General features: G+C 46.2%; 1 protein-coding gene and 1 long non-coding RNA gene across 2 annotated transcripts, besides 5 other annotated features; one reads left to right on the plus strand and one right to left on the minus strand.

The window, feature by feature from the left end:
- Positions 4,048 to 4,549: an enhancer, noted in NCBI's record as "H3K4me1 hESC enhancer chr12:49521461-49521962 (GRCh37/hg19 assembly coordinates)". NCBI's record gives its function as "activates a minimal SCP1, AML or CMV promoter by ChIP-STARR-seq in primed H9 embryonic stem cells {active_cell/tissue: H9 hESC(primed)}" and the evidence as "EXISTENCE:reporter gene assay evidence [ECO:0000049][PMID:30033119]".
- On the minus strand, positions 4,152 to 7,765 carry TUBA1B (tubulin alpha 1b). Its single transcript, NM_006082.3, has 4 exons — positions 7,668 to 7,765; positions 5,870 to 6,092; positions 5,612 to 5,760; positions 4,152 to 5,308 (listed from the first exon to the last, which is right to left on the minus strand). The coding sequence occupies exons 1-4, from the start codon at positions 7,668 to 7,670 to the stop codon at positions 4,328 to 4,330; spliced, it is 1,356 nt and encodes a 451-aa protein (NP_006073.2). The 5' UTR covers positions 7,671 to 7,765; the 3' UTR covers positions 4,152 to 4,327.
- Positions 4,550 to 5,049: an enhancer, noted in NCBI's record as "H3K4me1 hESC enhancer chr12:49521963-49522462 (GRCh37/hg19 assembly coordinates)". NCBI's record gives its function as "activates a minimal SCP1, AML or CMV promoter by ChIP-STARR-seq in primed H9 embryonic stem cells {active_cell/tissue: H9 hESC(primed)}" and the evidence as "EXISTENCE:reporter gene assay evidence [ECO:0000049][PMID:30033119]".
- Positions 6,596 to 6,890: an enhancer, noted in NCBI's record as "tiled region #3992; HepG2 Activating DNase unmatched - State 1:Tss, and K562 Activating DNase matched - State 1:Tss". NCBI's record gives its function as "activates a minimal TATA promoter and a strong SV40 promoter by Sharpr-MPRA in HepG2 and K562 cells {active_cell/tissue: HepG2 | K562}" and the evidence as "EXISTENCE:reporter gene assay evidence [ECO:0000049][PMID:27701403]".
- Positions 7,404 to 7,493: an enhancer, noted in NCBI's record as "active region_6308". NCBI's record gives its function as "activates an Ori minimal core promoter by ATAC-STARR-seq in GM12878 lymphoblastoid cells {active_cell/tissue: GM12878}" and the evidence as "EXISTENCE:reporter gene assay evidence [ECO:0000049][PMID:35858748]".
- Positions 7,694 to 8,093: a silencer, noted in NCBI's record as "silent region_4425". NCBI's record gives its function as "represses an Ori minimal core promoter by ATAC-STARR-seq in GM12878 lymphoblastoid cells {active_cell/tissue: GM12878}" and the evidence as "EXISTENCE:reporter gene assay evidence [ECO:0000049][PMID:35858748]".
- On the plus strand, positions 7,976 to 24,233 carry TUBA1B-AS1 (TUBA1B antisense RNA 1). Its single transcript, NR_183484.1, has 2 exons — positions 7,976 to 8,195; positions 24,033 to 24,233. It is a non-coding gene; the product is annotated as a TUBA1B antisense RNA 1 (long non-coding RNA).
- The last annotated feature ends 1,702 nt before the right edge of the window (positions 24,234 to 25,935 follow it).

Genomic DNA, 25,935 nt, shown 5'->3' on the forward strand with positions numbered 1-25,935 from the left:
ACTGCACTCCAGCCTGGGTGACAGAGTGAGACTCCGTCTCAAAAAAAAAAAAAAAAAGAAAAAGAAAAAGAAAAAGAATCTGGCCTAAGAGAAATTACCATTATTTATTTTTGGTTCCCTAGAAGCATTTTTTTTTTTTTTTGGAAACAAAGCCTCACTGCCGCCCAGGTTAGACTGCAGTGGCACGATCTCGGCTCACTGCAAGCTCCGCCTCCCTGCAAGCTCCGCCTCCTGGGTTCACGCCATTCTCCTGCCTCAGCCTCCCAAGTAGCTGGGACTAAAGGCACCCGCCACCACTCCCGGCTAATTTTTTGTATTTTTAGTAGAGACGGGGTTTCACCGTGTTAGCCAGGATGGTCTCCATCTCCTGACCTCGTGATCCACCCGCCTCGGCCTCCCAAAGTGCTGGGATTACAGGCGTGAGCCACCGCGCCCGGCCTCCCTAGAAGCATTCTATGGGCATTACCAGGCACTGTACTTGCTGCCCGGGCAGAGGTATAGATAAGATGACTGCAGTGCCATTTCATTCTAGCCATCCCCTCCCCCATGGCCCACACATAATATATCATTTAACCCAAGGCCTTAACTTATAATTATTAGTATTCATCTTGGCCTGGTGTGGTGGCTCACCCTTGTAATCCCAGCAGTTTGGGAAGCCAAGGAGGGAGGATCACTTGAGGTCAGGAGTTTGAGACCAGCCTGGCCAACATGGCAAAACCCCGTCTCTACTAAAAATACAAAAATTAGCTGGGCATGGTGGTGCAGGCCTGTAATCCCAGCTGCTCAGGAGGCTGAGGCAGGAGAATCCCTTGAACCCAGGAGGCAGAGGTTGCAGTGAGCCGAGACTGAGCCACTGCACTCCAGCCTGGCAATAGAGCGAGACTCCATCTCAAGAAAAAAAAAATAGTAGTCATCTTGATGTATAAAACAATTTTAAAATTTTTTTTTTCCTTTGAGACGGAGTTCGCACTTATCACCAAGTCTGGAGTGCAATGGCATGATCTCGGCTCACTGCAAGCTCTGCCTCCCGGGTTCAAGCAATTCTCCTGTCTCAGCCTCCCAAGTAGCTGGGATTACAGGTGCCCACCACCACACCCAGCTAATTTTTGTATTTTTAGTAGAGACGGGGTTTCACCATGTTGGCCTGGTTGGTCTCGAACTCCTGACCTCAGGTGATCCACCCACCTTGGCCTCCCAAAGTGCTGGGATTACAGGAGTGAACTACTGTGCCCAGCTTAAAATGTTTTATTGTATATTTTTGAGAGTTTCACTCTGTCACCGAGGCTGGGGTGCAGTGGCATAATCTCAGCGTGAGCCCCCGTGCCCAGCCACTAATTTTGTATTTTTAGTAGAGTTGGGGTTTCGCCATGTTGGCCTGGCTGGTCTCAGTCTCCTGACCTCAGGTGATCCACCTACTTTGGGCTCCCAAAGTGATAGGATTACAGGCGTGAGCTGCTGTGCCCGGGCCTCTCAGTTCTTTAAAGGTGTCTGCAGCTCGGCACACCCAGCGACTCATGCCTGTAATCCCAGCACTTTGGGAGGCCGAGGCGGGCAGATCACGAGGTCAGGAGTTCGAGACCAGCCTGGCCAACATGGTGAAACCCCAACTCTACTAAAAATACAAAAATTAGCCAGGCTTGGTGGCAGGTGCCTGTAATCCCAGCTACTCGGGAGGCTGAGGTAGGAGAATCACTTGAACCCGGGAGGCGGAGGTTGCAGTGAGCCACGACCACACCACTGCACTCCAGCCTGGGAGACAGAGCGAGACTCCATCTCAAAATAAATAATAAAATAAAAAATAAATAAAGATGTCTGCTTTCCCTTGGAACCTGTGATGGCTACATTTTTGTTGCTATGCTAGGCCTGTAGGCTCCCCACCAAAGCTTTTTCTCTGAATTGTTCATGCCAAATCAGATTACCTTTGGAGCTGAGAGTTGCAGTCATCCCTTAGTATCCCTGGAGGATATCAAAATCCATGAATGCTCAAGTTCCTTATATAGAGAACTCTGGTGTTTGCATGTAACCTGCACACATCTTCCTGTATACTTTAAGTCATTTCCAAATTACTTATAATACCTAATACAATGTGAATGCTATGCAAATAATTGTTATACTGTATCATTTAGTGAATAAAGGGGACAAGTATATGTTCAGTTCAGACACAACTATCCATTTTTCCAAATATATATTTTGAGATAGGGTCTTTCTCTGGCACCCAGACAGGAATGCAGCAGCACAATTACACTGGCTAATTTGTTTTTGTTTTAGTTTTGTAATGACAGGGTCTCCCTAGGTTGCCTAGGCTGGTCTCAAACTCCTGGGCTCAAGTGATCCTCCCGCCTTGACCAAAGTGCTGGTATTATAGGCATGAACCACTATGGCCGGTTGCTTCCAAGTATTTTCAATCCAGTTAGTCAAATCTAGATATGGAACCCACAGATAGGGAGGGCTGACTACATTTTGTAAATTTATAGGATTTATGGGCTAAAAAAACAAAAAACAAAAAACTGGGAAAATTGTAGACTTCCCTACTTTTTTTTTTTTTGAGATGAAGTTTTGCTCTTGTTGCCCAGGCTGGAGTGCAATGGCGCAACCTCGGCTCACTGCAACCTCCGCCTGCTGGGTTCAAGCAATTCTGTTTTTGCTTTTTTTTTGAGATGGCGTCTTGCTCTGTCGCCCAGGCTGGAGTGCAGTGGCGCGATTTCTGCTCACTGCAAGCTCCGCCTCCCAGGTTCATGCCATTCTCCTGCCTCAGCCTCCCGAGTAGCTGGGACTACAGGCGCCCACCACCACACCCAGCTAATTTTTTGTATTTTTAGTAGAGACGGGGTTTCACCGTGTTAGCCAGGATGGTCTGGATCTCCTAACCCCGTGATCTGCCCGCCTCAGCCTCCCAAAGTGCTTGGGATTACAGGCATGAGCCACCACACCTGACCCAAGGTTCAAGCAATTCTGCCTCAGCCTCCTGAGTAGCTGGGATTACAGGCATGCGCCACCATGTCCGGCTAATTTTGTATTTTTAGTAGAGATGGAGTTTCTCCATGTTGGCCAGGCTGGTCTCAAACTCCTGACCTCAGGTGATCCACCCGCCTCAAGCCTCCCAAAGCGTTGGGATTACAGGCATGAGCCACTGCGCCTGGCCTCTTCTTTTTAAAAAAATGCCTCATGTATTCTTTCAGTCTTGAACCAAGAAGACATCAAGGTCTTCAGCAGCCATAATTTTCCTGTGCTTTCCGGATTTGAAATCTACGTTTTCTCCTAGGTTAAATCCTCTATTTACATTCTCTGTGCCTACAAGTCTGTTACATGTAGCCAAAATACTTGAAAGGATGTAAACCATGCCAAATGCTATAAATTATAAACTTTTATCCTAAACTTTCCAAAGTTGCCGCTTTATCCTCATGTAATGCAGTCCTCTCCCACCAATGCATATGGCTTATTGTTTAGCCTTCTTACCTAGCATGACTTTTATTGACCACCATGAGTTCTGGTCCTTTTTCCTATCACAATAGGGCTGGAAACAGCCTTTACCTCACCACCCTCAAATATTCCTAGTCAGATGTTTTTCCCAGGTCACTGTTTTGACAGGATCTGTCACCAAGGCTGGAGTGCAGTGGTACAATCACAGCTCACCACAGCCTCAATCTTGTCAGCCTCTCAAGTAGCTGGGCTTATAGGCTCACACCACCACACCCAAATTTTTTTTTGTAGATGGAGTTTCATCATGTCTCCCAGGCTGGTCTTGAATGCCTGGGATCAGAGGTGTGAGCCACCATGACCAGCCAAAGATCACTTGGAAATTTCTTAATTACACTAACAAGTTAGCAGGCCACTTTAAACAGCAGCATCTCAGTGGATATTCAAAACTTACACTTCCTATACATTACTCATTAGTAACTACCCAGTCTTACTCTGAAGAGCTAAATGAGCTTTAGATTAGCAGAATGACTTTCCCCACCCCCTATGCAAGCGTTGAGGTGGTAAACTAGTCTGAGAATCTAGGGCTCCTGCCTTTCTAGTCTGTTGAGCTCCCTTTTCCCTAGAGGTGCCTGCACAGTAAGTGGGATCCTTGACACCAGACTCTCTATACTCCAAGTATAGATGAATCTAAAAACCAAGGCACTTTTAGAAAAAAACGCAGGAAACAAAGCTTTTGATGTTAATGACTTTACTTTGAGATATGATGGAAAAATATTACAGGTACACATGGAAAAGACATGATCACCAAGTGAAAACAATCTAACCAGAAAGCTTTAACGTCTGTCAGTTAAGCTGAAGCTGAAATTCTGGGAGCATGACATGCTGCAGGGCCAAAAGGAATGGATAATTAGTATTCCTCTCCTTCTTCCTCACCCTCTCCTTCAACAGAATCCACACCAACCTCCTCATAATCCTTCTCAAGGGCAGCCATATCTTCACGGGCCTCTGAAAACTCGCCTTCCTCCATCCCCTCACCCACGTACCAGTGAACAAAGGCACGCTTGGCATACATCAGGTCAAACTTGTGGTCCAGGCGAGCCCAGGCCTCAGCAATGGCTGTGGTGTTGCTCAGCATGCACACAGCTCTCTGTACCTTGGCCAGGTCTCCACCAGGCACCACAGTGGGAGGCTGGTAGTTGATGCCAACCTTGAAGCCAGTGGGGCACCAATCCACAAACTGGATGCTGCGCTTGGTTTTGATGGTGGCAATGGCAGCATTGACATCTTTGGGAACCACGTCACCACGGTACAACAGGCAGCAAGCCATGTATTTACCATGGCGAGGGTCACATTTCACCATCTGGTTGGCTGGCTCAAAGCAAGCATTGGTGATCTCTGCTACAGAAAGCTGTTCATGGTAGGCTTTCTCAGCAGAGATGACAGGGGCATATGTGGCCAGAGGGAAGTGGATGCGGGGGTAGGGCACCAGGTTGGTCTGGAATTCTGTCAGGTCAACATTCAGGGCTCCATCAAATCTCAGGGAAGCAGTGATGGAGGACACAATCTGGCTAATAAGGCGGTTAAGGTTAGTGTAGGTTGGGCGCTCGATATCGAGGTTTCTACGACAGATGTCATAGATGGCCTCATTGTCTACCATGAAGGCACAATCAGAGTGCTCCAGGGTGGTGTGGGTGGTGAGGATGGAGTTGTAGGGCTCAACTACAGCTGTGGAAACCTGGGGTGCTGGGTAAATGGAGAACTCCAGCTTGGACTTCTTGCCATAATCAACTGAGAGACGTTCCATGAGCAGGGAGGTGAACCCAGAACCAGTTCCCCCACCAAAGCTGTGGAAAACCAAGAAGCCCTGAAGACCGGTGCACTGGTCAGCCTGTAGGGGAATAAAAAAATGTAATATTTTAATGCCAGGACACATTATCTTAGAATTTCTATTTCAACTTTTTAGATTACGAACCATATCTCACTGATGTAAGCACAAGGAATTGGCAAAACAGACATATCCACAAACTGTCCATAACCTAGGGACTATCTGATTTAGAAGTCCAATTAATATAGCAAGCAGCCTATTCCACATTTTGGTAGGTGCCAAAGAATGAATGATGTCAGTCACTCCACCCAACTTGCACTGGAACTATCACACCACATTAAATGCATATTTATATGTGGTGCTTACCAGCTTGCGAATTCGGTCCAACACAAGGTCAATGATCTCCTTGCCAATGGTGTAGTGCCCTCGGGCATAGTTATTGGCAGCATCTTCCTTGCCTGTGATGAGCTGCTCAGGGTGGAAGAGCTGGCGGTAGGTGCCAGTGCGAACTTCATCTGGAGGAGGGAGAGAAGGACGGAGGGAGTGAGTGAGTGACAAGAGAAGCCCCTGGACAGACCTCCTGTCCCAGCATCCTGGGATCTCAGGTTACTGAGGTCAACTCACCAATGACTGTGGGTTCCAAGTCTACAAACACAGCCCGGGGCACGTGCTTGCCAGCGCCCGTCTCACTGAAGAAGGTGTTGAAGGAGTCATCTCCTCCCCCAATGGTCTTGTCACTTGGCATCTGGCCATCGGGCTGGATGCCGTGTTCCAGGCAGTAGAGCTCCCAGCAGGCATTGCCAATCTGGACACCAGCCTGGCCAACGTGGATGGAGATGCACTCACGCTGCGGGAAGGAAAAAAGATATCACAATTTAAACCAATCTATTGATGACTGTCAAGTGGAACAAAATACTCATGCAATCTTTATTTTTTTAGAGATAAGGTCTGTCGCCCAGGCTTGAGTGCAGTGATGCCATCTAGGCTCACTGCAGCCTAGGCTCCAGTCATCCCCCCACCTCAGCCTCTGGAGCAGCTGGGACCACAGGCACAGACCACCAAGCTGGCTAATTTTTTCATTTTTTTTGTGGAGATGAGGTCTGGCTGTGTTACCTAGGCTACTCACGTAATCTGAAAACGAATTTCCTTTTCTAAAGCGATCTTTTCTAAAGATCCTTTTCTAAGATGTACTACTTTTGAGAACAGCTACACTATAGTCTACGTTGCTTTTAATGAATGTTACCTTCCCATCCTAAACCGGGAAGGCCTCCTTCCAGACCAAGACAGCTCAGTCACAGCTTCCTCCTTTGGAGGACCAAGACAGGAAGGTGGGCATCCATCCAGCGCTCAGGCCCCAGAAGCCCACTTTAGACTAGGTGGTCACATTTCCGGGCAGCTCCTAGCACAGGAAGCACGTGGCCAGACCAGCGCAGAAGAAATGTCTGTCCGCAGGGACAAGGGGCGGGGCTCTGCGGCACAGGATGAATGAGCAATTCCGGGCGCGCGCTCTTGCGCCCCCCGGCGGTGCTGCAGAGGCACGAAATGGCCACGTCTGCAAAGGCGCTGCCCAAGCCGCCCATCCTCCCTTGCCTGCCGGCATCGGGCTCAGCCTAACACCTCCACAGCAGTCTGAGCGCAGTAGGAGATTATCGGCGGCCCAGATCTGGGTCAAGATCCGATTTCCGTTCCCTCAAAATCCCTTACTGCCACCACCTGCTCCCCTGAATTCCTAACGCAGCAGGGAGAGACAGGTGGCCTCTACAGACTGTTGTGTACGAACTGTCGTAATACACTGGTGTAGAGCGGTACATTGACAGGGAGCTCTTCCGCAGTCCTCTTATTGCTTTCATCAAAAAAAGAACACTCAGGTTAACAGGAGACACGCCCTGTAGCCCTAGTCGCGTCGCGACCCAGAGCGCATGCGCAAAGCGCAGTGGCGGTTTCCCGCCCAGGAGCGGCGGGAAGGTAACGGTCGCGCGTGCGCGCTTTTGTCTCCAGCTGCTTCCCACCCCCGCTTTTCGCGCTCAAGAGGAAGTGAGGGCTGGAAGAGTCCGCGCGCGCGTCCACCCAAGGCGGAGTAAGGGCATGCGCTGGAAAGGACTGCGGGGACTCGAGGGACCGCACCCAGGACACAGTTACGCGACAAAAGAGAGCTCCGGATACGGCGGAGGGCAGCCCGAGCCCCCCATCCCTTCCAGAGTCCGAGAAGAAATCCTGGCGCCCCTCGACCTTTCCGGGCCCCCGCTATTTACACACACCGAGGTCTCACCACTCCCGCCCTGGCCTCTCGCCTCGTTTTCCGCCCTCCAAACGGACGGCTCTGAGGCCAGCCCTTCCCGGCTGTATACAGGGCCCCAGCGCCCCGCCGGCTCGCTTTTCCCTGCTTCCCTGAAAGCAGCCGGGAGCCGCACGGCTTACTCACCATAGTGGCTAGGGATTAGGAGGCGAAGGCGACAGGAGCAGACACCGGGTCCCGGTTACCGTCCCCGACAAGCTAAGAGTCGAGGTAAGTAACGCACTAGGGCGGGGCCGGCGCTGGAGCCTCTTAAGTAGCGGCTGCGGAGGGGCGGGCGGGCACAGGCGGTGCCGCGGTCGCTGGCCCCTCCTCCGGCCCCGCGCGCCCACTCCGCGCCCGGCCTGGCCGCCGCAGAGGCGGGCTCCGAGCCCCGAGCCCCCTCCCCTCGCGCGGCCGCGGGGTGGGGTCTGCCGCGCCTGCGGGCAACGCGCGCCAGTACTGCAGTGTGCGGCGCATGGCTGCGAGGGCCTGCCGAGGGGCGGGCGCGAGTCGGAAAGACACCGACCAGGGAATGGGCGACGAGGCTTGCCTTAATTCGGAGGAAACCCAGGACTTGAGAGAGCCATACAATTTGAAAGACGAAGCACCGTGAAATGCAGAAAGTTGTGGTTCGGATAGCTCAGCTGATTAATTTCATGTTGCCACAGTTTGTCAGTGAGTTTTGCCTTTTTATTTTCTCAGTTCCTTTAAAGGCAGTGCATTCGGTACTTACCTGATAATGTGAAAAACGCGAGCTTTAGAAAACCGAATAGGTGTACATGGTTTACTGTAATGACTTGTTCTCCAAAGTAAGAGTACCAAACGCTGGAAGCAAATAGTATTTCAGTCATTCGAAGAGTAGTGCCCAAGCATTTAACATTGAAGCTGTTAAAAGGGCAAAGTAGGCCCCAATTTTAGATCTAAGCCATCAACTTTATGGAACAGTCCTAAGGGCTTTTTGAAAAGGAGATTTAAAAACACATTTCAGAGGTGGTAGCTGAGTTGAAGAAGTGAGGAAAGACTTGGATAGGGAGGAAATAGTTTGACACTGAAGGATGTTAGGAAGTAGGGATTCCTTGTGCAACTTAAGAGTTTTGTAAATAAGACGGCTTGGCCTTGTGTCAAGATACATCAATTGGTTATAGCTTAGTGCTTGGAGGCCCACATTATAGGAGTAGACTAGTTCTCCCTCCGCCCCGCCCCTGGAAAATCTATTTCAAGACCATAAACCACATTGCTAATCCTTGGAAATGCAGAAGGTGGTTAGGTTTAAAATGTGGCTTTAAAATGGTCCTAACAGAAACGTATTGATGTTACTATTCAGAATATCTGCCCAGTATACGAGGAAGAAAAAGGTTAAACCTAAAACACTAAAAATTCATAGTTCATATTCAGTTATTAGCCTATGAAGATTTGGTACAGCCTTCATCCTTCATTTTAGACAAATAACAAATCTATATGGTTTATAAGTGTATTTTGTAAGGAGTTATATATATCTATATATGTGTGTCTCCACCCATCTGAACCTGACCTGCAAACCAAGAGGTTCTTGTTTATTTCCGATAGTTTTGGTAGTCTTGTTAAAGGCATTTGATTCAAAATCCAAATTTGCATACATTTTTCCAACTGGATAGAGGAGGCAGGAATATATTTGAATATTGTTCTCACTTATTTTGTCCCTCTTCTTATTCTTTAAAAAAAAATTAAGCCTGTCAATTTTAGCAGTGGGGGTTGCATATCAATTTTAGTGATACTAATGTTAATAAGTTCTGATAACCCACTACCATTGGACCACCCCCACTCTTATTCCTAAAACGAATCTGAAAATAATTAGCTTGCTTTAACGGGAAGAATGAATGTTAGGGAACCACCCTGCTGAACTCCATTTTGCTGTCGGCTCTGAATAAAGCTATTTTATCCAGAAAAGCTATCTCTGGACAAATATTTTGAATAGTTCAGTAACCGCAATAGGTTTCTGCTAGAACCATTTTGAAGCCACCCTTTAACCCTAACCACCTTATGTATTTCCAAGGATTGGCGATGTAGTTTATGGTTTTGGGATAGATTTTTCTGGGGGAGGGGAGAACCTCCCTTCTAGCTCTCTGCAGATTATCAGAGCCGCCACTGCAGGGATTTGCTCCCGTGGGCCTATATGTCTCCCCAGATACCTTCCTAAAACTATTAGCTTTTATCTGTCTGTGTATTCCCCTGTTGTGAATGGGGAAGTATTTGAGGGCTTGTTTTTTTAGGTTCTTGATAATAAATACCTCAGGTTTCACAGAGTAATCAAACTAAAAGAAAACTTCTTTTTTATTTCATTTTATTTTTTTGACCGAAACTCCATCTCCAAAAAAAAAAAAGGGTATATTGTTATGTGATATTGGGACATCCGAACATTTTGTTGTCATAGGAGTTTGTCCTTGCCAGCATTAATAAACTGCTTCCTTAGCTGTAAACATCTTATGACCATGGGTTGTATCTGGTAAGGAATAGGCTTTGCTAGTCTAAATTTAGAATTGATTTTGAAATTGTGTTATCCTAGCCCTTTTTTCTTTTTTTGAGACACAGTTTTGTTTTTGTCACCCAGGCAGGGGTGCAATGGCGTGATCTTGGCGCACTGCAACCTCTGCCTCGTGGGTTCAAGCGATTCTCCTGTCTCAGCCTCCCAAGTAGCAGAGATTACAGGCACCTGCCACAATGCCCAGATTATTTTTGTATTTTTAGTAGAGAAGGGATTTCACAATGTTGGCCAGACTAGTCTCGAACTTCTGACCTCAGGTGATCCGCCCACCTCGGCCTCCCAAAGTGCTGGAATTACAGGCGTGAGCCACCGTACGTGGCCATGTTACCCTAACTCTTATGTTCCTGTTTCCCTAACATAATACCTCCTTTACTCTTCTCCTCTACTACTCTAATCTTAAGGGGAGATGAAGGGTGAAGGTCATTTTTTGTAACTTCTTCCTGCTGACAGTGGACGTTGATCTTTGGGACAGGATTCTCTTATAAGAATTTGCAGTTGGTGGGCTGGGCACGGTGGCTCATGCCTGTAATCCCAGCACTCTGGGAGGCTGAGGCAGGCGGATCACGAAGTCAGGAGATCGAGACCATCCTGGCTAACACGGTGAAACCCCATCTCTACTAAAAATACAAAAAATTAGCCAGGTGTGGTGGTGGGCACCTGTAGTCCCAGCTACTCGGGAGGCCGAGGCAGGAGAATGGTGTGAACCTGGGAGGCGGAGCTTGCAGTGAGGCGAGATCATGCCACTGCACTCCAGCCTGGGCAACAGAGCGAGACTCTGTCTCAAAAAAAAAAAAAAAAAAAGAGAATTTGCAGTTGGTTTCTAGGGAGCCAGGGGAGGTCCATATTTGCATGATGTTCTGTCTGATTTTTTTTTTTTTTTTTTTTTTTTTTTTTTTTTTGAGAGAGAGTGTTTCACTCTTGTTGCCCAGGCTGGAGTGCAATGGCACAATTTTGGCTCACTGCAACCTCTGCCTCCCAAGTTCAAGCGATTCTCCTGCCTCAGCCTCCTGAGTAGCTGGGATTACAGACATGCGCCACCACGCCCAGCTAATTTTGTATTTTTAGTAGAGACGGGCTTTCTCCGTGTTGGTCAGGCTGGTCTCCAACTCCCGACCTCGGGTGATCCGCCCACCTTGGGCTCCCAAAGGGCTGGGATTACAGGTGTGAGCCACCACACCCAGCTGATTCTTTTTTTTTTTTTTTTTAGATGGTGTCTCGCTCTGTCGCCAGGCTGGAGTGCAGTGGCACAATCTCAGCTCACTGCAACCTCTGCCTCCCAGGTTCAAGCAATTATCCTGCCTCAGCCTCCCGAGCAGCTGAGACTGTAGGCACGTGCCACCGTGCCCAGCTAATTTTTGTATTTTTAGTAGAGATGGGGTTTCACCGCGTTGGCCAGGATGATCTCGTTCTCTTGACCTTGTGATCCGCACACCTGGCGATGTTCTGATGATTCAATGGGCATAGCCCTGCCCAGTATTGGAGGAGTAAAAAAAAAAAAAATATATATATATATTTATATATATATTTATTTTTATATTATATATATTTTTATATTTTATATATATATATATATATATATATATTTTTTTTTTTTTTTTTTTTTTTGTAGAGATGGGGTTTTTCCATGTTGCCCAGGCTGGTCTCAAACTCCTGGACTCATGTAATCTGCCTGCCTCGGCCTCCCAAAGTGCTGGGATTACAGGCATGAGCCACCACACCCAACTGTAACACATTTTTATGCCAGAATAATATTGAATAATGATAAATGTATTTTGCCTCTTTTTCCTTTTCTTTTTTTCTTTTTCTTTTTCTTTCTTTTTTTTTTTTTGAGACAGGGTCTTGCTTTGTTGCACAGGCTGGAGTGCAGTGGCACAATCTCAGTTCACCGAAACCTCTGCCTTGTGAGTTCAAGCAATTCCTGTGGCTCAGCCCCCCAAGTAGCTGGGATTACAGGCATGTGCCACGACACCTGGCTATTTTTTATATTTTTAGCAGAGAGGGGGTTTTGCCGTGTTGCCCCGGCTGGTCTCGAACTCCTGGCCTCAAATGATTTGCCCGCCTCGGCCTCCCAAAGTGCTAGGATTACAGGCATGAGCCACCATGCCCAGCCTGCCTCCTCTTTAGTACCTGACAGGAAAGTCTGATTTTTTAAAAAATCCATACTTAACCTACATAGGTATATTTGTTTTTTGTTTTTTGTTTTGAGACGGAGTCTCACTCTGCTGCCTAGGCTGGAGTGCAGTGGCGCGATCTCAGCTCACTGCAACCTCTGTCTCCCAGGTTCATGCCATTCTCCTGCCTCAGCCTCCCAAGTAGCTGGGACTACAGGCGCCCGCCACCATGCCCGGCTGCTAATTTTTTGTATTTTTTTAGTAAGACGGGGTTTCACCATGTTAGCCAGGATGGTCTCGATCTCCTGACCTCGTGATCTGCCCGCCTCGGCCTCCCAAAGTGCTGGGATTACAGGCGTGAGCCACCGTGCCCGGCCAGGTCTATTTGTTTTGTTTGTTTGTTTGAGACAGAGTCTCGCTCTGTCTCCTAGGCTGGAGTGCAGTGGCATGATCTTGGCTCACTGCAACCTCCATCTCCCAGGTTTAAGTGATTCTCCTGCCTCAGCCTCCCAAGTGAGTAACTGGGAAAACAGGTACGCGCCACCACGCCCGGCTAATTTTACATCTGTGTGTCTGTCTGTCTGTCTGTCTGTCTGTCTATCTATCTATCTATCTATCTATCTATTTTTTGAGATGGAGTTTTGCTCTTCTTGCCCAGGCTGGAGTGCAATGGTGCGTGATCTCAGCTCACTGCAACCTCTACCTCCTGGGTTCAAGCGATTCTCCTGCCTCAGCCTCCCAAGTAGCTGGGATTACAGGCATGCGCCACCACGCCCAGCAATTTTTTGTATTTTATTTTTAGTAGAGACAGGGTTTCTCCATGTTGGTCAGGCTGGTCTCGAACTCCCGACCTCAGGTGATCCGCCCACCTCGGCCTCCCAAAGTGCTGGGATTAAAGGCATGAGCCACTGCACCCAGCCTATTTTTTTTATATATATTTTTAGTAGAGATAGGGTTTCACCATATTGGCCAGGCTGTTCTCAAACTCTTGACCTTGTGATCTGCCCGCCTTGGCCTCCCAAAGTGCTAGGAGTACAGATGTGAACCACCATGCCCGGCCTCTGTTTTTTTTTTTTTTTTTTTTGAGACAGAGTCTTGCTGTATTGCCAAGGCTGGAGTGCAGTGGTGCCATCTCAGCTCATTGCAGCCTCCATCTCCCAGGTTCAAGCGATTCTCCCACCTCAGCCTCCTTAGTAGCTGGAATTACAGATGTGCACCACCATCACCTGGCTAGTTTTTGTAATTTAGTAGAGATGGGGTTTCACGATGTTGGCCAGGCTGGTCTCAAACTCTTCACCTCAAGTGATCCACCCACCTTGGCCTCCCAAAGTGCTGGGATTAATTATAGGCATGAGCCACCATGCTCAGCCTCTATTTATTATACATACCTATACACACACACACACACACACACACACACACGAGTAAATAGTAGTTATCTATGTCTGGAACATAAACACAGTAGTATTTACTGTCTTGACATTTTTTTTCCTCCCCTAAGACAGGATCTCACTCTGTTGCCTAGGCTGGATTACAGGGGCATGATCATGGCTCACTGCAGCCTCCACCTCCCAGGCTCAAGCGATCCTCTCACCTCAGCCTCCTCAGTAGCTGGGACTACAGGCAAGCACCACTGTGCCTGGCTAATTTTTTATTTTTGTGGAGGTGGAGTCTCATTGTTACCCAGGCTGGTCTTGAACTCCTGGGCTCAATCGATCCTCCCACCTTGGCCTCCCAAACTGCTGAGATTGCAGTACAGGCCACTGTGCCCAGTCTGTCTGCACATTTTAATTGATTATATAGGCCTTTCTTTTGTTGTACTCTTTCAGGCCTGCAACTGTTTGCTTTGAGTCTTTGGTGTAGTGGGAAACCCTGTGATGCAATTAGAGTTATTCTCATTTTTGCTACATAGTATCATGGCCATTTGCTACTGTTCTAAGCAGTGGGTAACTGTTTTTGATAGTTTCCATATTGTGGTTTAGACACAGAAATTTACAAAATATTTTGTTCATTTCACTAGCTCTACAAGTAAAAACAAAATAACAAATGGCAACAATTTACCAAGTGTTAACTATTTATAAATATTTGAACTTCATTCTTATTTATCCCAATATTATAAATTTACATCTGCTTTTCCACAGATAGATGGTACTGGGGAAAGAAAATTGACTTTGGGCTGGGTGCAGTGGCTCAGGCCTATAATCACAGCACTTTGGGAGGCCGAGGCGGGTGGATCACTTGAGGCCAGTAGTTAGAGATCAGCCTGGCCAACATGGCGAAACCCCGTCTACTAAAAATACAAAAATTAGTTGGCCCTGGTGGCACGTGGCTATAATCCCAGCTACTTGGGAAGCCAAGGCACGAGAATCGCTTGAACCCAGGAGGTGGAGGTTGCAGTGAGCAGAGATCATGCTACTGCACTCCAGCCTGGGTGACAGAGTGAGACTCTATCTCAAAAAAAAAAAAAAAAAAAAACCAAAAAAAAAAGGGAAAAAAATAGAAAATTGACTTCGGTGGTGTCAGATAGGACTAGATTCAATTCTAGCTTTGTCAGTTAATAGTGGTATGACCTTAGACCCTTAATTATCTTTCTCAAGCTTCATTTATGAATGGGAATCAGTGTTAACTTGGAATCACCTTTTTCTCATACATTCAGTCCCATTAGTTCATGTTGTCAATTTACTTTCAAAATATGCCCACTACTTTTTATCACACCACTCTTATTTCACAGCTCTTACAGAATCTGAAATTACCTTGTTTGTACATTTATTTACTTGTTTAAAGTTTCTTCTTTTATGTAAACTCCATGTCTCTTTTTGTGGAAGTCAGTCTTGGTTGCCCTTCCAAAAACTACCTTCTTCCATTCCTCCTTGCTAAGACAGCCTCCTTTATCTGCCACTGTTTAAAGGGTATTTGTGTGCTCAGTCCCCGGGGACAAATAAATGCAACCTTGTTTCCCTTTGCCAGATACTTGCTTTTTCAGTTTCCTTCATGATTGGACCTGATTCTGACCAATGGGACATAAAGAGGCAAGTCAGCTGAGGACTTTCTGGGAATGATTTTCTTCTCTGATAAAAAGAGATTACCCCGTTGAGGAAGTCCCTTTTGTTTCACCCCTCTCCCTTTGCTTTCTGCCTTTGGAAATGTTCTTTGAAGATATGATGCCTAGAGCCAACTTCAGTCCTTGAGGGTCTAATGCAAAGAGAATCATAAAGATGCCAGTTCAGTGCAGTGGTCTGATATTGTGAAGCTATCGACCTAACCTTAAAACCAACCTATCTCCACATTTATTAATTAAATAATAAATTAAAGAAACTAAATAAATATTAATGAATAAAGGAAACAGTAAATGTCCTTATAATGTAAGCCAATGCAAGCAGGCTTTATCCCTAGAGACAAGAACAATACCTGGCACATAGTAGGTGCTTAATATGTAATTTTTGTTTAATATTGAACCTTGTGATTGATTGGATATGGGTTGTGAGGTAAAGTAAGGAATGGAGGTTATTTTGTAGGTTTCTCATTTATTTTATTTATCTATCTATCTATCTATTTATTTATTTTTGAGACAGAGTCTCACTCTGTTTCCCAGGCTAGAGTGCAGTGGCACGATCTTGGCTCACTGCAACCTCTGCCTCCCAGGTTCAAGTGATTCTCCTGCCTCAGCCTCCCAGGTAGCTGGGATTACAGATATGTGCTACCACGCCTGGTTAATTTTTGTATTTTTAGTAGAGACCGGGTTTCACCATGTTGGCCAGGCAGGTCTCGAAATCTTGACTTCAAGCTATCCGCCCACCTCGGCCTCCCAAAGTGCTGGGATTACAGATGTGAACCACTGCGACCAGCAAAGGTTTCTCATTTAAATAACCACGTGAATCGTGGTGCTTTTCACTGAGATCAAAATATTGAAGAAAGAAGTGGGCGGGAAGTAAGAAAAGGTCAGTTTTTAACACATTTTGAGGTTTAAGTGTCGGTAGTACATATGCTTAGAGATGTCCATTAGGCAGACATACTTGCAGATATGGAGAGGGGAGAGAGAGACAGATTTTGAACCTTCAGTATTAAAATGGTAATTAAACTACGGGAATGGTAAGACCTCTCAGGGGGAATGTGTAGAGCTAGGAAAGTAGTGCTTTTCTTTCTTTTTTTTTTTTTTTCTTTTTGATACGGAGTCTCACTCTGTCACCCAGGCTGGAGTGCAGTGGTGAAATCTCGGCTCACTGCAACCTCTGCTACCTGGGTTCAAGCAATTCTCCTGCCTCAGCCTCCGAAGTAGCTGGGATTACAGGTGCTTGCCATCGTGCCCAGCTAATTTTTGAATTTTTAATGTAGACAAGGTTTCACCATGTTGGCCAGGCTGGTCTGGAACTCCTGACCTCATGATCCACCCGCCTTGGCCTCCCAAAGTGCTGGGATTACAGGCGTGAGCCACCGTTCCCGGCTGAACGTGGTGGTATTAATAGAGAACCCTGAAGTAGATAGAGAACCTGGCCTTAGTAAGGAATTGAAAGAATGATCACATTTAAAGTGGAGAAAATGAGCTTATAAAAGGAGTCTGGGGCTGGGCACAGTGGCTCACGCCTGTAATTGCAGCACTTTGGGAGCCCAAGGCAGGCGGATCACCTGAGGTCAGGAGATCGAGACCAGCCTGAGCAACATGGAGAAACCCCATCTCTACTAAAAATACAAAATTAGCCGGGCATGGTGGCGCATGCTTGTAATCCCAGCTACTTGGGAGGCTGAGACAGGAGAAGCACTTGAACCCAGGAGGCTGAGGTTGCGCCATTGCACTCCAGCCTGGGCAACAACAGTGAGACTCCATCTCAAAAAAAAAAAAAAAAAAGTGGCTGGGCATGGTGGCTCATGCCTGTAATCCCAGCACTTTGGAAGGCCGAGACAGGTGGATCGCAAGATCAGGAGATCAAGACCATCCTGACCAACATGTGAAACCCCGTCTCTACTAAAAAAATACAAAAATTAGCCAGGCATGGTGGCGTGCACTTGTAGTCCCTGCTACTCAGGAGGCTGAGTCAGGAGAATTGCTTGAACCCAGGAGGCGGAGGTTGCAGTGAACCGAGATTGTGCCACTGCACTCCAGCCTGGGTAACAGAGCGAGACTGTCTCAAAAAAAAAAAAAAAAAAAAAAAATGGAGTCTGAGCCGGTCGCAATAATCCTAGCACTTTGGGAGGCCAAGGCAGGTGGATCACCTGAGGTCAGGAGTTCAAGACCAGCCTGGCCAACATGCTGAAACCCCATCTCTACTAAAGCTGGGCATGATGGCAGGTGCCTGTAATCCCAGCTACTCAAGAGGCTGAGACTGAAGAATCACTTGAACCTGGGAGACAGTGGTTGCAGTGACCTGAGATCGCACCACTGCACTCCAGCCTGGGCGGCTAAGCGAGACTCCGTTTCAAAAATAAATAAACAAATAAACAAAAGGAGTCTGAGAAAGAATGATCAAAGAGGAAGAACTGGGGGTTTTACGATCCAAGTAAAGAGTTTCAAGCGAGTACAGTGTCAAATGCTGCAGTGTCAAATCCTGCAGGTTAAATAGGGTAAAGACTAGAAAGTGTCCATTGTATTAAATATAGAGAAAACAGTATGGTGTCTATTTTTATTTATTTACTTATTGGACAAGTATTGAGAGCTTACCATGGCAGGTACTCCTTATAAGTGCTGGGTTGATATAACAGTGAATAAAATAAGTCTTGCTGGAGTCGTGAGAAGGGACATGCTTGCCTGTTCCTAATCTTAGTGAGAAAGCTTCTAATTTCTCACTTTTAAGTATAGTGTTAGCTGTAGGGATTTTGTAGACATTCTTGATCAAGACGAGAAAGTTCCCCTCTAAGTTTATCAAGAGAGTTTATCATGAATGAGTGTTGGATTTTGTCATATGCTTCTTCTGCATATGTTGATATGATTATGTGATTTTTCTTTCTTTTTTCTTTTTTAAACAGTTTTGCTCTGTTGCCCAGAATGGAGTGCAGTGGCACCATCTTGGCTCACTGCAACCTCCACCTCCCTGGTACAAACAATTCTCGTGCCTCAGCCACTGGATTAGCTGGGATTATAGACGCACGCCACCACACCTGGCAAATTTTTTTTATTTTTAGCAGATGCAGGGTTTCACCATGTTGGCCAGGCTGGTCTTGAACTCCTGACCTTAAGCCATCTGCTTGTCTCGGCCTCCCAAAGTCCTGGGATTGCAGGCATGAGCCACTGCACCTGGCCTTTTTCTTCTTTAGACTGCTGATCTGATGGATTTTATTAATTGATCTTTTCTTTTTCTTTCTTTTTTTTTTGAGACAGGGTCTTGCTCTGTCACCCAGGCCGGAGTGCAGTGGCATGAACATAGCTCACTGCAGTCTCGGTCTCCTGGGCTTCAGCGATCCTCTCACCTCAGCCTCCTGAGTAGCTAGGACCACAAGTGTATGCCACCACACCCTGCTAATTTTTAAATTTTTTGTAGAGATGAGGTCTTGCCACGTTGTTCAGGCTGGTCTTGAGCTCCTGAGCTGAAGTGATTGTCCCACTTCAGCCTCCCAACATGCTGGGATTATAGGTATGCGCCACTGCTCCTGGCCTTATTCATTTTCAAATGTTGAACCAGCCTTGTATACCTGGGATAAATTCCACTTGGTCTTGGTATATAATTCTTTTTATCCAGTGTTGGATTTGATTTTCTGATATTTAATTAAGGATTTTTGCATCTATGTCCATGCAAATATTGGTCTGTAGTTTTCTTTTTTCTTTTTTTTTTTTTTGTAGTATCTGTCTGGTTTTGGTATTACGGTAACACTGATCTCATAGAATGAGTTAGGGAATAATCCCTCTGCTTCTTTCTTCTTAAAGAGATGGTATAAAATTGGGATAATGTTTCCCCTAAAAGTTTGGTAGAATTCAAATTAGCTAGGCATGGTGGCATACGCCTGTAATCCCAGCTACTCAGGAGGTTGAGGCAGGAGAATCACTTGAACCCAGAAGGCAGAGGTTGCAGTGAGCCAAGATTGCACCACTGCACTCCGGGCTGGGGAACAGAGCAAGACTCCATCTCAAAATAAATAAATAAATGTTTGGTAGAATTCATCAGTTAACCCATCTGGGCCTGGTGCTTTCTGTTTGGGAAGGTTATTAATTATTGATTCAATTATTATTATTATTATTTGAGACGGAGTCTCGCTCTGTCACCCAGGCTGGAGTGCAGTGGCGCGATCTCAGCTCACTGCAACCTCTGCCTCCTGGGTTCAAGCAATTCTCCTGCCTCAGCCACCCGAGTAGCTGGGACTACAGGTGCGTGCCACCATGCCCAGCTAATTTTTTGTATATTTAGTAGAGATGGGGTTTCACCGTGTTAGCCAGGATGGTCTCGATCTCCTGACCTCATGATCTGCCCACCTCAGCCTCCCAAAGTGCTGGGATTACAGGCATGAGCCACCGCGCCCAGCCGATTCAGTTCTTTAATAGATATAGAGCTGTTCAAATTGTCTTTCTTCTTATGTGAATTTGGCAGATTGTGTCTTTCAAGGAATTTGTCTATTTCATCTAGGTTATCAAATCTGTGCACATAGAGTTTTCCTTTATTTTCCCTTTAATGTTCATGGAATCTGTAATTATGTCCTCTCTTTTATTTCTTTTTCTGTTGTTTTGAGACGGAGTCTCGCTCTGTCACCCAGGCTGGAGTGCAGTGGTGTGATCTTGGCTCACTGCAACCTCCTCCTCCCAGGTTCAAGTAACGCTCCTGCCTCAGCCTCCCGCGTAGCTGGGGCTACAGCATACGCCACCACACCCAGCCAATTTTTGTATTTTTTGATAGAGATGCGGTTTTAACATGTGGGCCAGGCTGGTCCTGAACTCCTGACCTCAAGTGATCCACCTGCCTCAGCCTACTAAAGTGCTGGGATTACAGGCATGAGCCACCACACCCAGCCTTTTATTTCTTTTTTATTACTTTTTTGTAGAGATGAAGCCTCGCTATGTTGCCCAGATTGGCGTGCAGTGGCTATTCACAGATGTGATAATCATATACTGCAGCCTTGAACTCCTGGGCTCAAGGGATCCTCCTGCCTCAGCCTGTAAAGTAACTGGAACTATAGGTGTGCCACCTTGCCCAGCTCCTTCACTTTAAAAAAAAAAAGTTTAATTTTAATTTTGTAGAGATGAGGTCTTGCCATGTTGCCCAGGCTGGGCTTGAACTCTTAGCATCTAGTCATCCTCCCACTTTGGCCTCCCAAAGGCCTGGGATTATAGACATGAACCACTATGCTCAGCCTCCTTTACTTTTTTTTTTTTTTTTTTGAGACAGAGTCTCGCTCTGTCGCCCAGGCTGGAGTGCAGTGGCACAATCTCGGCTCACTGCAAGCTCTGCCTCCTAGGTTCACGGCATTCTCCTGCCTCAGCCTCCCAAGTAGCTGGGACTACAGGTGCCCGCCACCATGCCTGGCTAATTTTTTTGTATTTTTAATAGAGACGGGGTTTCACCGTATTAGCCAGGATGGTCTCGATCTCCTGACCTTGTGATCCACCCGCCTCGGCCTCCCAAAGTGCTGGGATTACAGGCGTGAGCCACCGCGCCCGGCCTCCTTTACTTTTTTTATCTAGTTTCTCCTACAGATCTATAAAGAGTTGTTGGCAGCTCTAGATGCACTGCCTATGACTTAGCCCTGCTCTGCATGGAGCAGTTAAAAAAAAAAAAAAGGAGCTGTTGATTTTTTAGTTTGTTCAGCTTTTACTTGTTGTTATCATGGAGTGGTGACTTCCGAGCTTCTTTTCTGCTGGTCTGGAAACTGGATGTGTATATCTTTTCAAAGCAGTAACAAGAAGGTCAATGAGGCCAGAGCAGAGTAGTGAGTGAGGGGGAGAGCGTTATGAAATGAGATTGGAGAGGTAGCCAGGGTCTAGCTCATGTAATAGTGTTATTAGGCATGGAGAGATTTTGTGTTTTATTCTAAAAATAATGAGAAGCTATTAGATAGTTTTGAGCAAAGGTGTGACATGTTCTATTTTAGGTTTTAAGAGCATTGCTCTGGCTTTTGTGAGAGTAAACCACAGGAGGTTAAGAGTGGAAGAAGGAAGATGAACTAGAAGGGAATGGGCAGTAATGCAAATAAGAGATGATAGTGGCTTGAATCAAGGTGATATTGTTGAGGTGGTAAGAAGTGGTGGAAATGTGAGTTGTTTTGTTTTGTTTTGTTTTGTTTTTGAGATGGAGTCTTGCTCTGTCACCCAGGCTGGAGTGCAGTGGTGTGATCTCGGCTCACTGCAATCTCTGCCTCCCAGGTTCAAGTGATTCTCCTGCCTCAGCCTCCCAAGTAGCTGGGACTACAGGCGTGTGCCACCACGCCCGGCTAATTTTTTTTTTTTTTTTTTTTAAGTAGATGTGGGGTTTCACCGTGTTAGCCAGGATAGTCTTGATCTCCTGACTTCGTGATCTGCCTGCCTTGGCCTCCCAAAGTGCTGGGATTATAGGCTTGAGCCACCACGCCCAGCCTTCTGAGTATATTTTGAAGACAGAACTGACAGGATTTATTAAGAAGTTGGCTGTGAGAAAGAAAGAGAGGAGTCAGTCATGACCCCTAGATTTTTGGTCTGAGCAACACTGGGGAATACTAAAGGAGGAACAGGTGTAGAGAAATGGAAAGAATCAAAAGTTCAGTTTTGGACATGTTAAGTTTGAGATGCAGTGGGTTAAATATAAGTAGAGATGTTGATTAGGCAGTAATAGTTGGTTAAAAAGTGCAGAGGGGAGGTCGTGTTGGAGATAAATTTAGAAGTCATCAGTATAGAAAGTGGATAAGATCACCTGGGGAACGGGGGAGATCCAACCGGGCGCAGTGGCTCATGCCTGTAATCCCAGCACTTTGGGAAGACCAGGCGGGCGGATCACAAAGTCAGGAGTTCGAGACAAGCCTGGCCAACATAGTGAAACCCCGTCTCTACTAAAATTACAAAATTTAGCTGGGCATGGTGGCATGCGCCTATAGTCCCAGCTACTTGGGAGGCTGAGGCAGGAGAATCGCTTGAACCCGGGAGGCGGAGGTTGTGGTGAGCTGAGATTGTGCCATTGCACTCCAGCCTGGGCAACAGAGCGAGACTGTCTGAAAAAAAAAAAAAAAAAAGGAAGAGGTCCAAGGACTGAACCCCAGAGCACTCTAACTTATAAAAATTAGGAACAGGATCTAGTAGTGTAAAGTAAAAGGAGCAGACAGTGATGTTGGAAGTTAATAATGGCCTGGGTGCAGTGGTTCACACCTATAATACCAGCACTTGGGGAGGCCAAGGTGGGAGGATTGCTTGAGCCCAGGAGTTAGAGACCAGCTCTGGCAACACAGGGAGATCCCTTCTTTACAACAAATACAAAAATTAGCCAGGCGTGGTGGTGTGCACCTGTAGTACCGATTACTTGGGAGGCTGACATAGGAGCCCACGAGGTGAAGGCTGCAGTAAGTTGTGATCGCGCCACTGCATTCCAGCCTGGGTAACAGAGCAAGACCGTGTTTCCAAAAAAATAGAAGAAAGAAAATAATGAAGAGTTTAGTATTCTGGAAACCAAATGAAGAAAGTGTTTCAAGCAGGAGCAGGTGATAACTCTGCTTTTTGAACTGTGCTTTCTGGGAGGCTGGGTAACATGGGGTCTGAGAATCAGCTGTTAGATTTCACTGGTGACCTGGGCAAGAGTGGCTTCAGTGGAGCAGTAAGGATGAATTAAGGCCTTATTGGTGTAAGTTCAAGAGATGATTCATGACAAGGAAGTGGAGGAAGGAGAATTTAAAAACTTTTTTGAGGATTTTTGCTTTAAGGGGTTAGAAAGAAGAGTAATAACCAGGAGAGCTGGATAGGGATGTTCAATAAAAGGCGGGGTTTTCTTTTTGTTTTTGTTTCTAAGGTGGGAGCTATTTTAGAATATTTGTTTGCTAATGAGAAAAAAAAAACAAAAGGTAAAATCCATGTTGTGGGGAAAAGGAGCAAAGCTTTAGAGTAGTGAAATGGAAAGGCACCCAGTGCACCATGGAGGGGTTCACCTTGGAAAGGAGCACAGTATTCACCTGCTGACACACAGGAGGAAGCCAGAATTCGAGGAGCGATTAATCGGTTGGCAGTTAGATTTAGTGGTGGAATCTGTGGAATTTCTCTTCTGATTATTTCTGTTTTTCTCCTCTACTGCAGTGAACTAGAAAATGGGTAATTTCAGCCAGGGATGGTGGCATACAGTGGTGCCTTTCAGCTACTCGGGAGGCTAAGGCAGGAGGATCCTTTGGGCCCAGGAGTTTGAGTCCAGTCTGGGCAACATAGCAAAACCTCATCCTTTTTTTTTTTTTTTTTTTTTGAGACGGAGTTTCGCTCTTGTTGCCTAGGCTGGAGTGCAATGGCGTGATCTCGGCTCACCGCAACCTCTACCTCCCGGGTTGAAGCGATTCTCCTGCTTCAGCCTCCCGAGTAGCTGGGATTACAGGCATGTGCCACCACACCTGGCTAATTTTGTATTTTTAGTAGAGACAGGGTTTCTCCATGTTGGTCGGGCTGGTCTCGACCTCCCGACATCACGTGATCTGCCCGCCTCAGCATCCGAAAGTGCTGGGATTACAGATGTGACCTATCGTGCCCAGCCGCTAAACCTCATCTTTAAAAAAGAAGAACAAAATAGGTAATCTTTCCTAATTCTCCCTCTTTTCCTTAGTAACAGAACCCTGATTTCTTTGGGAACAGGGTGCCCAGCTTCTGTTCCAACTGATGGGGTCCATGTGACTAAGTTCTGGTGAAATGTTAGTGGAAGTTGTTTGGTGGGGCTGCTGATAAAGTTTCTAAAACAGGATTGATAAGATTGAGCTAGTGTCATTGGCCCTTTCTTTTTCTTTTTTTTTTTTTTTTTTTTTTTTGCCTAGAACATGGACAAGATGGCTGGGGTCCTGTGGAGTTCTAGTAATCTTCTTACGATAATAAAGCAACCTTATGCCATATGATATGCTAAGGATGGAGGAAGATAGAGTCTAGGTGCCTGATGACAACATGGAGCTGTCAAGCCCTGCATTGCCTCCCCCTGGACGTCTCATTATGGGAGAAAATGAAGCAATTTGTTTAAGCCACACTGATCTTTTTTCCTATTTTTCTTTTTCTTTTGTTGAGTGTGTGTTTGTGTCTGTTATTTACAGCTGATTGTAAGTCATAACTGATGTGGTAGTGGGACTGTGTAAGTTTTGTCTTCTGATGTTTTTCTTTTTTTTTTTCTTCTTCAGTGAAACAGGGATGGGGAGATCATTAGCTAAATGTAAGGATTGGGGAAGGAGTGTGGGAGGTTTGTGGAGAGAGAATGTGTGAAATGTGGGAAGTTTGTGGAGAGAGAATTTGTGAAATAGTTATCTCTGAATGGTAGAGTAAATTAAGTAGGGAGAGGTAGTAGGTCATTCAGACATCTGTGGTTGTAAATATAAAATGAGATCAGTCATCTGGGTTGTATTTTTCCCTAGTCAGGTTTACCTGCTCAGGAGAAGGTATAAACCTGATAGTGAATTGGGTTTAACCAGGATTTATATTTTGCTAAAGCCATTGTGTCACCATTTGTGAAATAGAAGAAGATACTGTAGAGTCACTAAGAAGACAGTTGACTGAATGGATTTATAAAAACATGTAGCCGGGCACAGTGGCTCATGCCTGTAATCCCAGCACTTTGGGAGGCCGAGGCGGGCAGATCACGAGGTGAGGAGATCGAGACCATCTTGGCTAACACGGTGAAACCCCCTCTCTACTAAAGAAAAAAAAAAAAATTAGCCGGGCGTGGTGGCAGGCGCCTGTAGTCCCAGCTACTCAGAAGGCTGAGGCAGGAGAATGATGTGAACCCAGGAGGTGGAGCTTGCAGTGAGCCAAGATCACGCCACTGCACTACAGCCTGGGTGACAGAGCGAGACTCTGTCTCAAAAATAAATAAATAAATAAATAAAATAAATAAAAATATATACAAACATGTAATTGCTGGCCAGGCATGGTGGCTCACGCCTGTAATCCTAGCACTTTGGGAGACTGAGGCGGTGGATTGCCTGAGCTCAGGAGTTTGAGACCAGCCTGGGCAACACGGTGAAACCCCATCTCTACTGAAATACAAAAAATTAGCCAGGCGTAGTGGCATGTGCCTTTAGTCCCAGCTACTTGGGAGGCTGAGGCAGGAGAATTGCTTGAACCTGGGAGGTGGAGGTTGCAGTGAGCCAAGATCGTGCCACTGCATTCCAGCCTGGGCAACAGAGTAAGACTCTGTCTCAAAAAAAGAAACAAACAAACAAAAAACATGTAATTAATAAAAGCAGTAGACTTGAAAGCAAAACTTTACACATATTTTTTGAATAGGTAAAGTTCCCATGGTTCAAACATTGAAGAGGTAAAAAGATACACAGACATACCTTACTTTATTGCACTTCACTTTACTGAACTTGTTTTGTTTTGTTTTGTTTTTCTTTTGAGACAGTTTCGCTCTTGTTGCCCAGGCTGGAGTACAGTCGTGTGATCTCGGCTCACTGCAACCTCTGCCTCCTGGGTTCAATCTCTTCTCCTGCCTCAGCCTCCCAAGTAGCTGGGACTACAGGCACTTGCCACCACGCCCGGCTAATTTTTGTATTTTTGGTAGAGACAGTGTTTCACCACGTTGGCCAGGCTGGTCTCGAACTTCTGACCTCAAGTGATCGGCCTGCCTCGGCCTCCCAAAGTGCTGGGATTACAGGCTTAAGCCACCGTGCCCGGCCCTTTTTATTTTTTTTGAGACAGAGTTTCGCTCTTGTTGCCCAGGCTGGAGTGCAATGA

This window comes from Homo sapiens, chromosome 12, assembly GCF_000001405.40.
Source record: "Homo sapiens chromosome 12, GRCh38.p14 Primary Assembly".
NCBI classification, from domain to species: Eukaryota; Metazoa; Chordata; class Mammalia; order Primates; family Hominidae; genus Homo; species Homo sapiens.